The sequence below is a fragment of the Homo sapiens genome, chromosome 11, assembly GCF_000001405.40.
Source record: "Homo sapiens chromosome 11, GRCh38.p14 Primary Assembly".
NCBI classification, from domain to species: Eukaryota; Metazoa; Chordata; class Mammalia; order Primates; family Hominidae; genus Homo; species Homo sapiens.
Window position 1 is genome coordinate 62559482 of NC_000011.10, and position 12737 is coordinate 62572218.

The 12737-nt window shown below is 47.2% G+C and overlaps 1 protein-coding gene and 1 non-coding gene across 2 annotated transcripts in view, besides 3 other annotated features; both read right to left on the reverse strand.

Moving 5' to 3' along the window:
• Positions 1–543: an enhancer, noted in NCBI's record as "H3K27ac hESC enhancer chr11:62326954-62327496 (GRCh37/hg19 assembly coordinates)". NCBI's record gives its function as "activates a minimal SCP1, AML or CMV promoter by ChIP-STARR-seq in naive H9 embryonic stem cells {active_cell/tissue: H9 hESC(naive)}" and the evidence as "EXISTENCE:reporter gene assay evidence [ECO:0000049][PMID:30033119]".
• EEF1G (eukaryotic translation elongation factor 1 gamma) overlaps positions 115–12737 on the reverse strand; it is a 14296-nt gene continuing 1673 nt past the window's right edge. The window contains exons 3-10 of the mRNA NM_001404.5: positions 12357–12420; positions 12059–12201; positions 11484–11627; positions 7918–8047; positions 7325–7529; positions 801–973; positions 588–712; positions 115–356 (exon numbers count right to left, since the gene is read on the reverse strand). Of these exons, the coding sequence (NP_001395.1) occupies positions 198–356; positions 588–712; positions 801–973; positions 7325–7529; positions 7918–8047; positions 11484–11627; positions 12059–12201; positions 12357–12420 (1143 nt within the window). The 3' untranslated portion in view covers positions 115–197. The remainder of the gene's footprint in view (positions 357–587; positions 713–800; positions 974–7324; positions 7530–7917; positions 8048–11483; positions 11628–12058; positions 12202–12356; positions 12421–12737) is intronic.
• Positions 959–1078: an enhancer, noted in NCBI's record as "active region_4824". NCBI's record gives its function as "activates an Ori minimal core promoter by ATAC-STARR-seq in GM12878 lymphoblastoid cells {active_cell/tissue: GM12878}" and the evidence as "EXISTENCE:reporter gene assay evidence [ECO:0000049][PMID:35858748]".
• Positions 2170–2712: an enhancer, noted in NCBI's record as "OCT4-NANOG-H3K27ac-H3K4me1 hESC enhancer chr11:62329123-62329665 (GRCh37/hg19 assembly coordinates)". NCBI's record gives its function as "activates a minimal SCP1, AML or CMV promoter by ChIP-STARR-seq in naive and primed H9 embryonic stem cells {active_cell/tissue: H9 hESC(naive and primed)}" and the evidence as "EXISTENCE:reporter gene assay evidence [ECO:0000049][PMID:30033119]".
• On the reverse strand, positions 7530–7590 carry MIR6747 (microRNA 6747). Its single transcript, NR_106805.1, has one exon. It is a non-coding gene; the product is annotated as a microRNA 6747 (primary transcript).

Here is a 12737-nt window from a genome sequence, read left to right on the forward strand (position 1 = left end):
CTTCTGAAGTCTTCTCTCCTGCATATCGAGGTACTGCGAACACAGAAAGTACCCTGCTTCAACATATCTACTCCCCTTGAAGACGCCACCACTCACAAAGGAGGCAGGACAGGAAAGGGTTCAATGTTCAGTTTCCTTTAATGACCCCCATCTCCCTGAAGGGCAGGTGCAGGCAGCTAGGTGATGGCAAGAGATGTTCACTTGAAGATCTTGCCCTGATTGAAGGCTTTGCCCACATGCTGGAAGGCCCCCTCCCAGGAAAAGTACTCTCGAACCAGCGTCTGGGTCTCCTCGCTGCCAGGATCCAGTTTCCGCCATGTGTATGACTCGTAGTCCACCTGCCAATCTGGACTCAGCTGGGGATAAAAAGCCAGCATGTGGTCAAGTTATGAGACACCACCCCACACCTGTGTTACTTCCAGCTCAAACACATGTCATCAGACCCCAGGTCTCCTGTGAACATGAACTGCTCCTTCCTATAAGCATTCCTGAACCCTCCTAAACATCCATCAACTCAGAAATAAAACACAGTGCTTCTTATATCCCTGCCCCACCCTAAAGAGACTCCTCTCCTCCACCTTCCTCACCGGAAAGGCAAGCTCCTGGCCTCGGAAGACCCAGACTCCAGAAATGGAGCTGCTATTGTTGGTTCCAAAAAGGATGACACTGGCGAAGGCATTCTTCCTCAGCTTGTCCAGTCGCTGGAACATTCCTGAAGCGGCAAGGGAGAACATTCAGCCTTTGGAATCACAGCACTTGCTACACCTTGTTCTCCTTCCTTCTCAGACCCACTCTCTTACCAGTGATGAGATTGCAGCTCATGAAGGTCTGAGTGAGTTCTTCAGGGAAGCGATACTCTGAGTACCACAGGGACCAGCCGTCCTTATCAAAGTGCTCCCAGAAATATGGCAGTGCCACAGAGAGTGTGTCCTCATTGGAGTACTTGCGCTTAAATTCATCCAACACAAAGGTACTAAGAGGAAGAAAGCACAGGGGTCAATCAATAAGGAGGAAGGTTGCCAGGCTAAGAGAAGTGAAGGGTGCTTTCACTTAAAATTTACTAATATAAAGGAAATGGTCATTGTGCTGGCAGATGTGTATGACCTTATGAGGGAAGTAAGCTCAAGGGGTTTGAACAGGGGCCTAGGACACTCCTCTGCATAAGTATGCAAGGCATGTGGAGGGTGGAACTCAAAGTGGGACTCTGAGACCTGCCCCAGGAAGGGCATGGCTAACTGCTGCCCCCAGGTGGAGACAGAGTGAGGACTTCTTTTTCCCTGTTCAGGCCCTCCCCAGGCTGTTTTCCATGAACCACACTAAGTCACTGACTCACCCAAGTCTCTTCCCCCCCACCATACAGGCCTCTTCAGGTTACACAAGCTGTAACAGGAATGTAAGCAGTGAACATTCTCAAAGGGCCTCCACCCCAAATCTTACACCCATGTCCTTTAGTCCATCTCTGCCTATAAACAAGCTTTAGTCTTTTCCAAGGTTTTCCGATGCTGGAAAGCCCTTAGGTTCAGGTTATCTTAAAAGCAATCTGGCATACTGAGCCAAGAATGCCAGCATCAATATAGCAGAGGTCACTCCCTCCACGATTGGTGCTCTGTTTTCTTTCTTTCCAGTTATAAACATATACACTGGCCAGATGCGGTGGCTCACGCCTGTAATCCCAGCACTTTGGGAGGCCAAGGCAGGTGGATCACCTCAGGTCAGGAGTTCAAGCCCAGCCTGACCAACAAGGTGAAACCCCGTTTCTACTAAAAATACAAAAATTAGCTGGGCGTGGTGGCAGGCTGAGACAGGAGAATAGCTTGAACCCGAGAGGCAGAGGTTGCAGTGAGCAGAGATCGCGCCACTGCACTCCAGCCTGGGCGATAGAGGAAGAGTCCTGTCTGGGGGGAAAAAAAAGGACAGGCAGGGTGGCTCACACCTGTAATCCCAACACTTTGGGAGGCCGAGGCGGGCGGATCACGAGGTCAAGAGATCAAGACCATCCTGGCCAACATGGTGAAAACCTATCTCTACTAAAAAAAAAAAAAAAAAAAATTGGTGGCACACGCCTGTAGTCCCAGCTACTCGGGAGGCAGGGACAGGAGACTTGCTCGAACCCAGGAGACAGAGGCTGCAGTGAGCCGAAATTGCACTCCAGCCTGGCAACAGAGCAAGACTCCGTCTCAAAAAAAAAACAAAAAAAAAACAAAAAAAAAAAAAACAACCAAAAAACACATATATGTGTGTGTGCATACATGTGTTAAATGCCTAACCTTGTTTTTACTCTAACTCACTACTTTGAATCTTCCCTGTTTGTCTCTTTAACCACCTAGCCTTGCTTCTCATGTAAATAAGACTCTCTCTCTAGCTGGGAAAGCCGGACAAACTCCAATTGACCCTTTAATTTACAAGACACTAAGGGCTCCTCACCCAACCCCCTTCCACAAGGAGTTGACCTGTGTTAAGCAGATCCTCAGCATTTCAAAGGAGCCCAATTAACTGATAAGGTACTGGCACAAACAATGTATGAAGTTCCCAGGATTTTTCTCAAAGTGATAACAACATAAAGCCTTGAGTTGTGTCCCGCATAGCCCCATATCTAATTATAATGAAGGATTTAGAGCCCTGCACCTGGTACGGTTGCTTTTTGTAACCATTTGTCTTTTAAATTGTTTATCTCTCTGTAACCATTTTGCTTCTTTTGATTCTTGCATGTTTTTACCTCTGTAAAATTATTGCATTTGAGTTCCCCTCCCCTTCCTAAACCAAGGTATAAAAGTTAGTCAAGCCCCTTCCTCAGGGCCGAGAGATTTTTGAGCGTTAGCCGTCTCTTGGTTGCCGGCTAATAAAGGACTCTTAATTCGTCTCAAAGTGTGGCGTTTTCTCTAACTCGCTCAGGTACAACATGTGTGTGTATATATGTGTGTGTGTGCATATACATACACATATATATATATATGCTGACTGAAGAAAATCACCTATAATGCCAACAAGAGGATAATCTTTTTTTTGTTTTGTTTTTTTGAGATGGAGTCTCGCCCTGTCACCCAGGCTGGAATGCAGTGGTGCGATCTCGGCTCACTGCAACCTCTACCTACCGGGTTCAAGCGATTCTCCTGCCTCAGCCTCCCAAGTAGTGGGATTACAGGCACGTGCCACTACGCCCAGCTAATTTTTGTATTTCTAGTAGAGACGAGGTTTCACTATGTTGGTCAGGCTGGTCTTGAACTCTTGACCTCGTGATCCGCCCGCCTCGGCCTCCCAAAGTGCTGGGATTACAGGCATGAGCCACCGTGCCCAGCCCAGGATAATCTTTTATGTATTTTCCTACAGCCTTTGATTTTTCAAAGATGTAGCCATGACATATGCAGTTTTGTGCTTATACTTTGTTGTTACTGGACATCCTATCCATGCTGTTAAGAATTCTTTCAGCCTGGGAAATATAGCGAGACACTGTCTCTACAAAAAAATTTAAAAATTAGCTGGGAGCTGGGCACCATGGCTCACGCCTGTAATCCCAGCTACTCAGAAGGCTGAGGCAAGAGAATTGCTTGAGTCCGGGAGGCAGAGGTTGCAGTGAGCCGAGATCACACCACTGCACTCCAGCCTGGGAGAAGAGCAAGACCCTGTCAAAAAAACAAAACAATCCTTTTTTTTTTATTTTTCCTTGAGACGGAGTCTAGCTCTGTTGCCCAGGCTGCAGTGCAGTGGTGCAATCTCGGCTCACTGCAAGCTCCGCCTCCTGGGTTCACGCCATTCTCCTGCCTCAGCCTCCTGAGTAGCTGGGACTACAGGCGCCTGCTACCGCCCCCGGCTAATTTTTTGTACTTTTTGTATTTTTAGTAGAGACGGTATTTTTACCGTGTTAGCCAGGATGGTTTCAATCTCCTGACCTCGTGATCCACCCGCCTCAGCCTCCCAAAGTGCTGGGATCACAGGCGTGAGCCACCGCGCCCAGCCTAAAACAAAACAATTTTTTGCACTAGCAGTCCCAGCTACTCAAGAGGCTGAGGTAGAAGGACCACCTGAGATCAGGAGTTGGACACCGGACTAAGCAACATAGCAAGACCCTACCTCAAAAACAGAATTCTTTGCAAACATTTTAATGGCCAAACAATCTTCTAATGCAGGATTGTGCCATAAATCTACTAAACATTGAATATTAAACTGAATGTTTAGTTGGTTCTATTGTTCATAGCATAAATATTGCCATGAGTATTCCAATTTCACTCAATCCTTATAACCCATGAGTTATCAACTGTTACCCTGACCCTCCCCTCTCTTTACAGATGAGACCAAGTAGAATGACCTGTCCAAGATTACACTGTAGCAAAGCAGAGGATCTGTCCTTTAACCCTAGGTCCCAGGTTCCTTTCCAAATGCATAAGAGACCTCATCTGAGGAGCCTTAAAACCTCAACCACACCAAAACTGGGGCTGGGAATTTTTTCACACCCTCCTGAACTGTTCAAGCTATTTGTTTTGAGACAGGGTCTTGCTCAGTCACCCAAGTGCAGGGGCACGATCATGGCTCACTGCAGCCTCAACCTGCTGGACTCAAGTGACCCTCTCACCTCAGCCTGCCAAGTAGTATGAGCCACTGCAGTTGACCTAGCTGGGTCTTAAAAGAACTAGAATTAAAATCTGGACATTAATAGTCTTGGTCTTTTAGGATATCACTTTTATGACATTAAAAATGTTGGGGGAGCCAGGGGCGGTGGCTCACGCCTGTAATCCCAGCATTTTGGGAGGCCAAGGCAGGCGGATTGCCTGAGGTCAGGAGTTTGAGACCAGCCTGACCAACATGGTGAAACCCCATCTCTACTAAAAATACAAAAATTAGCCAGGCATGGTGGCACGCACCTGCAATCCCCAGCTACTCGGGAGGCTGAGGCAGGAGAATTGCTTCAACCCAGGAGGCGGAGACTGCAGTAAGCCGAGATCACACCACTGCACTTCAACCTGGGCAACAGAGTGAGACTCTGTCTCACAAAAAAAAAAAAAAAGGCCGGGAGCAGTGGCTCATATCTGTAATCCCAGCACTTTGGGAGGCGGAGACGGGCGGATCACGAGGTCAGGAGTTCGAGACCAGCCTGCCCAGCATGGTGAAACCCTGTCTCTGCTAAAAATACAAAAAATTAGCTGGGCATGGTGGTGCGTGCCTGTAGTCCCAGCTACTCAAGAGGCTGAAGCAGAACTGCTTGAACCCGGCAGGTGGAGGTTGCAGTGAGCCAAGATTGCACCACTACATCCCAGCCTGGGCGACAGAGCCAGACTCCATCTCAAAAAAAAAAAAAAAAAAAAAAAAGGGGGCCAGGCACGGTAGCTCACACCTGTAATCCCACCACTTTGAGAGGCCAAGGTGGGCGGATCACGAGGTCAAGAGATTGAGACCATCCTAGCTAACACGGTGAAACTCCGTCTCTACTAAAAATACAAAAAATTTGCCAGCCGTGGTGTCACGCGCCTGTCATTGTAGTCCCAGCTACTCGGGAGGCTGAGGCAGGAGAATCGCTTGAACTGGGGAGGCGGAGGTTGCAGTGAGCTGAGATCACACCACTGCACTCCAGCCTGGGTGACAGAGTGAGACTCTGTCTCCAAACAAACAAACCAAAAAAAAACAAAAAACACAAAAAGGAGCCAGGTACAGTGGCTCACACCTGTAATTCCAGCACTTTGAGAGGCCAAGGATCACTTGAGCCCAGGAGTTTGTGACCAGCCTGGGCAACATAGTGAGACCTAGTCTCTACAAATAATAAAAAATTAGCTGGGTGTGGTGGTGTGTGCCTTTGTCCCAGCTACTCCAGAGGCTGAGGTGGGAGGATCGCTTGAGTACAGGAGGTCAAGACTGCAGTGAGCCGTGATCACGCTACTGCACTCCAGATTGGACAACAAAGTAAAACCCTGTTTCCAAAAAAAAAAACCTTGGGGAAAGCATTTCTGGCAGCCCTGTAGGGCATCATGGTAACCCAATAAATAGACATTAATAAACATTCCCAAAACCATGTTAAGAAAATGTAAAGTTTATTAAATAAAGATTTTAAGTTTACTACTGCCTCATTTATTTCCTGCCCAGAGTACTGACCTACTATATGTGAAAATCTCTAGCTAATAATTAACAACGTCTGAGTTACAACACAATATGTAATTTGGGTTAATTATCATGACCTATTTACACACACCAAAAATCCTGCTCACTCTTGACCTGCACCTGTGCTAAATTCAAGGCAAATCACTAGTTCAAAAAATACATCTTTAAAGAGTGCCTGTGTCTGGATGGAGCCTTCCTGGTCTTGTACAAAATACCCGGGAGTAAGAACTTTCAGCTATACCCCAAGTTGCTCCCATCTATTAGTGCAATGCTTGTAATTCACAATTCTATGCACAGCTACTGTGTCCCTACCAGTGGGTGCTCCTTTAGGCTGGTTCACCCGGTATCCAAGCCATTACAAGATGGGAGAGGGTGAAATGTAAACCCTAGCAGACCAAGCAGTAAAAAGATGAACGGCTTTGGAAATGACAGGGTGAGTGGGAGGAAAAAGTACAGAGAAAGAGGAGTTCCAAAGCAAAGTGACCACAGAATATATATTTCTCAAACTGCTTGAACTCCCAATAAAATGACTTGGAGCAGTGATGGAAGAAAGACTCCATCCCAGAGAACTGGGCAAGCACTCAGCGTCCTACATTTTTCATGCCAAAAATCTCGTTTTTACTATATTATTTCTTCCAAGAAGCCCTACCTTTAACTGAAAAAGGGATACAGAGGACACCTACTTTCTTCTACTTGGGGACTTTACTCGGTTGTGGAACAATGAACTAGACAGACACTACTTAGCTATGATCTTCATCCTTTTTCTTAGTGAGCAATTTTTGTACAGTCTGATTCAGCAAAACAGAAAACAAAACAATTCAAAGGACCCTGCTCTGGCATCCACTATCTCCGCACAGCCGGGCGCGTGGCGCACCGCAAGGCTCTCTGCACTTTCTTCCTCCCCACGCCTCTCCCTGTATTTGTTCTCAGAGCTCTCAAATGGTCAAATGAGCTTGCTCAAAACCAACTTACCACTATATCAAAATCTGTTCCTGTCTTTGTTGGAATAGGAGTTCAATCTTCCCCAGTACTGGCTGTACTTGAAACTTGCTCTCCACAATCAAAATTTGCCCAATTCCTGATTATCAGCCAGAAAGCTGCTTTATTTGCAACTAAAATATACCTTTAACTTTATATGGACAACCTAAAATTCTGGCTCTAGCTGTGTGTGAGGGGGGACATACAGAGGTGAGAACAGGCCTTCTTTGGTCCCACACCCTCCACCCTCCAATATCCTTACCTCTTGGGCAGGTGAGCGAAGGGGTCCTTGGCCTTGGGCTCAGCAGCCAGCGCCTGCTCACATTCATCCATCTCCTCCTCAGGAGCAGGGGCAGCCGCCTTTTTCTCCTCCTTCCGCTCAGCCTGGGGCTTCTGCTTCTCTTCCCGTGAACCCTTCTCTTTCCGTGGTGTGTCCTTTTTAGGTTGGGTCTCTGCAAACTTTTTAGCTGGTGCAGAGGAAGGCAGGAAAGTGAACGAATGTTCTGCCTCTTTCCACACCCCTCCAAAACCACACAGAGCAAGCAAGGTAACAGAGGAAACTGACGAATGGGACAAGTAAGGAACTTAGGCCCCAGACTGCTCATCAGTTCACTGTGTGTCCTCCAGCAACAACACACTCAGCAACAAATACTTTATATCGCAAATCTATATAGTAATACAAATTAGTCAGGGTATGAGTGTACACGAAACTGCACATAATATTAGCTACCACATTGACACCCTACATTCTGCAGGTCCCCATAACCCAAAAGCAAGACAGGAAATCAAGGGGTTGATGCAGAGCAAACCAGACCCTGATCCTGGCCATATGCCTCCCAGTCTCCTCAGACTCACCATCAAACTGGGCCATCTTCTCACACAGTTTCACTTCGCCCAAGACAGCCCGGAACTGGGGCTGGTTAATGCAGGTGAGGAACCAGCGGTTGGTATTGGGAAAGGCCTGGCGGAAAGAAGGCTCTAGAACCTGCCAGGACATAAGGGTGTAAACAAAGTCAGTGGAAAGGCCCTGAAGAGTTCTGTTCACAGCAAGAGTCCTTGCTCTACCTAAGTCCCAGTGCTCACCTTCTTTTCAAACCCTATAGACAATAGCTTCATACAACATCATCCTTCCCTGGATTACTTCCCATTTCTTCATTTTTTTCAATTTTTTTTTTTTTTGAGACAGAGTCTCACTCTATCGCTCAGGCTGGGGTGCAATGGCGTGATCTCAGCTCACTGCAGCCTCCATCTCCTGGGTTCAAGTGATTCTCGTGCCTCAGCCTCCCATGCCTTAGCCTTCTGAGTAGCTGGGACTACAGGTGCCTGCCACCACACCCAGCTAATTTTTGTACTTTTAGTAGAGATGGGGTTTCGCCCTGTTGGCCAGGCTGTTCTCGAACTCTGACCTCAAGTGATCCGCCCACCTCGGCCTCCCAAACTGCTGGGATCTCCGAGGCGGGCGGATCACGAGGTCAGGAGATCGAGACCATCCTGGCTAACACGGTGAACCCCCATCTCTCCTAAAAATAAAAAAATTAGCTGGGCGTGATGGCGGGCAGCTGTAGTCCCAGCTACTCGGGACGCTAAGGCAGGAGAATGGCGTGAACCCGGGAGGCGGAGCTTGCAGTGAGCGGAGATCGCGGCACTGCATTCCAGCCTGGGTGACAGAGTGACTCTGTCTCAAAAAAAAAAAAATTAGCTGGGCGTGGTGGCACGTGCCTGTAGTCCCAGCTACTCCAGAGGCTGAGGCAGGAGACTCACTTAAACCCAGGAGGTGGAGGTTGCAGTGAACCGAGATCACGCCACTGCACTCCAGCTTGGGTGACAGAGTGAGACTCTGTCTCAAAAAAAAAAAAAAAAAAAAAAAATTTTAATAGAGATGGGGTCTCACTATGTTGCCCAGGCTTATCTTGAACTCGCATGCTCAAGCAATCCTCCTGCCCTGGCCTCCTAAAGTGCTGGGATTACCCGTGAGCCACCACACCTGGCCTCCATTTCTTTTTCTAATCTTTTTTTTCAGTGTAGTCCAGTTTAATGGATGGATGCTTGGGTCCATCCTCCATTTAGGAGTAGGAGTAATAATTGTCTTGCTCCTTTACAAAACTATTTCAGATCTACTGTTTCCAATCTTTTAAATTTCAAACGTCGGCCAGGAGCGGTGGCTCACGCCTATAATCCCAGCACTTTGGGAGGCCGAGGCGGGCAGATAACCTGAGGTCAGGAGTTCGAGACCAGCCTGGCAAACATGGTGAAACCCCGCCTCTCCTAAAAATACAAAAATCAGCCAGGCATGGTTGCACATGCCCGTAATCCCAGCTACTCAGGAGGCTGAGGCAAGAGAATCACTTGAACCCGGGAGGCAGAAGTTGCAGTGAGCCGAGATCGCGCCATCGCACTCCAGCCTGGGGGACAAGAGCGAGACTTCGTCTCAAAAAAAAAAAAAGATTGAGACCCACAGAGGGCTATCGAGGACTTTTTTGCCAAATAAAATCTAAACACTATAGGTATTTACTATCTATATTGGCCATACTATACACACACGCACACACACACACACACCCCCCACACCCACCCATCCATCAAACTTCAGAAAGTAAAGAACATTCAAAGAAAATATTCAAACGCATTTAGAATAATGGACAGTCCTGGCTGGGTGTGGTGGCTCACCCCCGCAATCCCAGCACTTGGGAGGCCGAGGCGGGTGGATCACCTGAGGTCCTCAGGAGATCAAGACCAGTCTGACCAACATGGCAAAACCCCATCTCTGCTAAAAATACAAAATTAGACGGGTTTGGTGGCGCATGCCTGTAATCCCAGCTACTTGGGAGGCTGAGGCAGGAGAATCGCTTGAACCTGGGAGGTGGAGGTTGCAATGAGCCAAGATCGTGCCACTGCACTCCAGCCTGGGTGACAGAGCAAGACTCTGTCAAAATAAATACATAAATAAATAAATAATGGACAGTCCTTCAAATTAAACTTAGTGTCTGGTGTATTAAGCATGGTCAAAGAAAAATAAGAATAAACAGCTTCAGGTAGAACTGTTGTCAGTTTTCAGTTTGCAAAGCTTCAGGTAGAACTGTTGTCATTTTTTAGTTTGCAAAGACCAGAAGAGGAAAAAAAATCTTGTCATGGAAACAGAACACAGCAGTCAGAGTGCTGGTTCCACAGTACTTGGGTTCAAATTCTACTCTACCACTTAGTAGATTCACTCACTAAGATGATCCCCATGAGGCCCCTGGCACAGGGTCTGGCATGCAGTAAGTGTTTTTTCTTTTGCTATGATCACATTACTATTCTGGACCAGCATCAGTCCAAGAGCTTTTATTTGGAAACCAGTGACTTGTCATTCTTTTTTGACCCAATAACCTTGACAGTGATTATTACTACCCTGATTTTATAGATTGCAAAGAGTAAAAAACAGGACTAAAGGAATTCACCCGCATATAACCCCTTACCTACATTGGTAAACAATGAAGCCAAGGCTTGAACCTGTATCTGTCTCCAAAAGAGCTTAAAGAGCTTTTTTTTTTTTTTTGAGATGGAGTCTCGCTCTTGTCCCCCAGGCTGGAGCACAGTAGCTGGATCTTGGCTCACTGCTACCTCCACCTCCTGGGTTCAAGCCATTCTCCTGCCTCAGCCTCCCAAGTAGCTGGGATTACAGGCTCCTACCACCACGCCCGGCTAATTTTCGTATTTTTAATAGAGACAGGGTTTCGCCATGCTGGCCAGGATGGTCTCGAACTCCTGACCTCAAGTGATCCACCCGCCTAGGCCTCCCAAAGTGCTGGGATTATAGGTGTTAGACACAGTGCCTGGCCTGCCTCCAAAAAGATCTTAATGCTGAAGCTACCATCATCACCTCTGTCTTCACAACTAAGAATAACCAATCTTCCCAGGAAATATGGCAACAAACTAAACATCTTAGCTGCCAAACAGAAACTAAAGGCAAGACATTACCCAGCTTCTTAAGAGAATGGAAAGCAAGTGATGGTACTCAGTCCTGGGATTCCTGGCTGTTTTTTGTTTGTTTTGACACGAAGTCTCACTCTCACCCAGGCTGGAGTGCAGTGGGGCGATCGCTGCTCACTGCAACCTCCACCTCCCAGATTCAAGTGATTCTTGTGCCTCAGCCTCCCAAGTAGCTGGGGCTATAGGTGTGCGCCACCACACCTGGCTAATTTTTTGTATTTTTAGTAGAGACAGGGTTTTACCATGTTGGCCAGGCTGGTCTCAAACTCCTGACCTCAGGTGATCTGCCTACCTCGGCCCCCCAGTGTGCTCGGATTACAGGCATGAGCCACTGCACCCACCTCTAGCTGTTTTCCAAGTCCTCAGCAGAATACAGGGTAACCTAGATACCTCGTCACTTTGTTTCTAATCCCCATCTACCCACTGCCAAATGGATTTTCCATAAACTTCACCTGCTTATAGAGCCACAACAGGGTGCAGACAACTGTGATGTCAGCCAATGTCACTCGTTCGCCCACCAGAAAAGTCCTCGTCTTCAAGTAAGCATCCAGCAGCCCCAGAATTCGCCTCACTTCCTCCTTTGCATTCTCAGTGGCCTAGTGATTCAACATGATAAAACTCATCAGTGGGTACCAATCCCTTTCCCTCACCTCCCCCATTAATAGAACTAAGAGGGCTATTTTCACCTAGAAGTCTGAGCTCACCCTCACTCTCTTTCAATGGAGGCAGATCCTAGGGTCATTCTAAATGTATTACAAACAATGAACTTCAGAGGTCCTCTGGTCCAGCCACCCCCTTACCATTTGGTATAATCTCTTCACAGCAGCAATCCCTCTTCTGATCACTCATGACAGACACTTCCTCCATCAACTGCCCACTGCTTCAAACTCGTACCCTAGAGATTACGTCTTCTCATTGCCTACATATCCTTGGCATCTTTTTTTCAACCTATTTTATTTCTTACTCCCAACACCCAGGAGCTGATGCCACCCCTGCCCCTGGCTTCTCTCAAAGTTCCAAGGCTCACCTGTTTGTTGTGGTGCATGATGCCCAAGGTGGGGAACACCCAGGTACTGGCTGGGGGCACTATATCGGAATCAGCAAAGCTCACCCACTGCACCACCTGGGCTGCTGCCTCTGGAGTACTTCCCCGCAGCTCCTCATTGCTCACTGCAGAGGCAGAACACGAAGGTCAGAACTCTGGGGGAATGCCAACACCAGTCCAGGTCCTGGAGAATTCCTTCATATCCACCCCCGCTCACACTTATCCTCTCCTACACCCTCACCTCCAAATTCTCCCATTCCCATATACCCCTGCAAATTACCATAGTAGGCAATGGCGTTGCTCTCAAACACACAGAATCCATCATCACCCTCAAATGCTGGGACCTGGGGACAAAGCAGTGAAAAGATAAGGTAAAACACACAAAATTTCTTCCTAACCAATACCAGGAGCCAAACTGCTTTGAAAATACTTATATAAGGCTGATGATTCTCACTATCCAAACTCTTGATACTCAAGAACCATAAATAAATACTTCAAGAACTTGGCCTCCTTTGCAATCTGAATTCACAATGTTAACTAGGAAGCCCAATAGATTTGAATATTACAGGATATTTGTATGAAATCTCTGGATCAAACAAGCAGAAGGCCAAAAGCAACTCCTGTATCAATGTCTGTATCAGTTAAAGTATTAGTGTGTGAC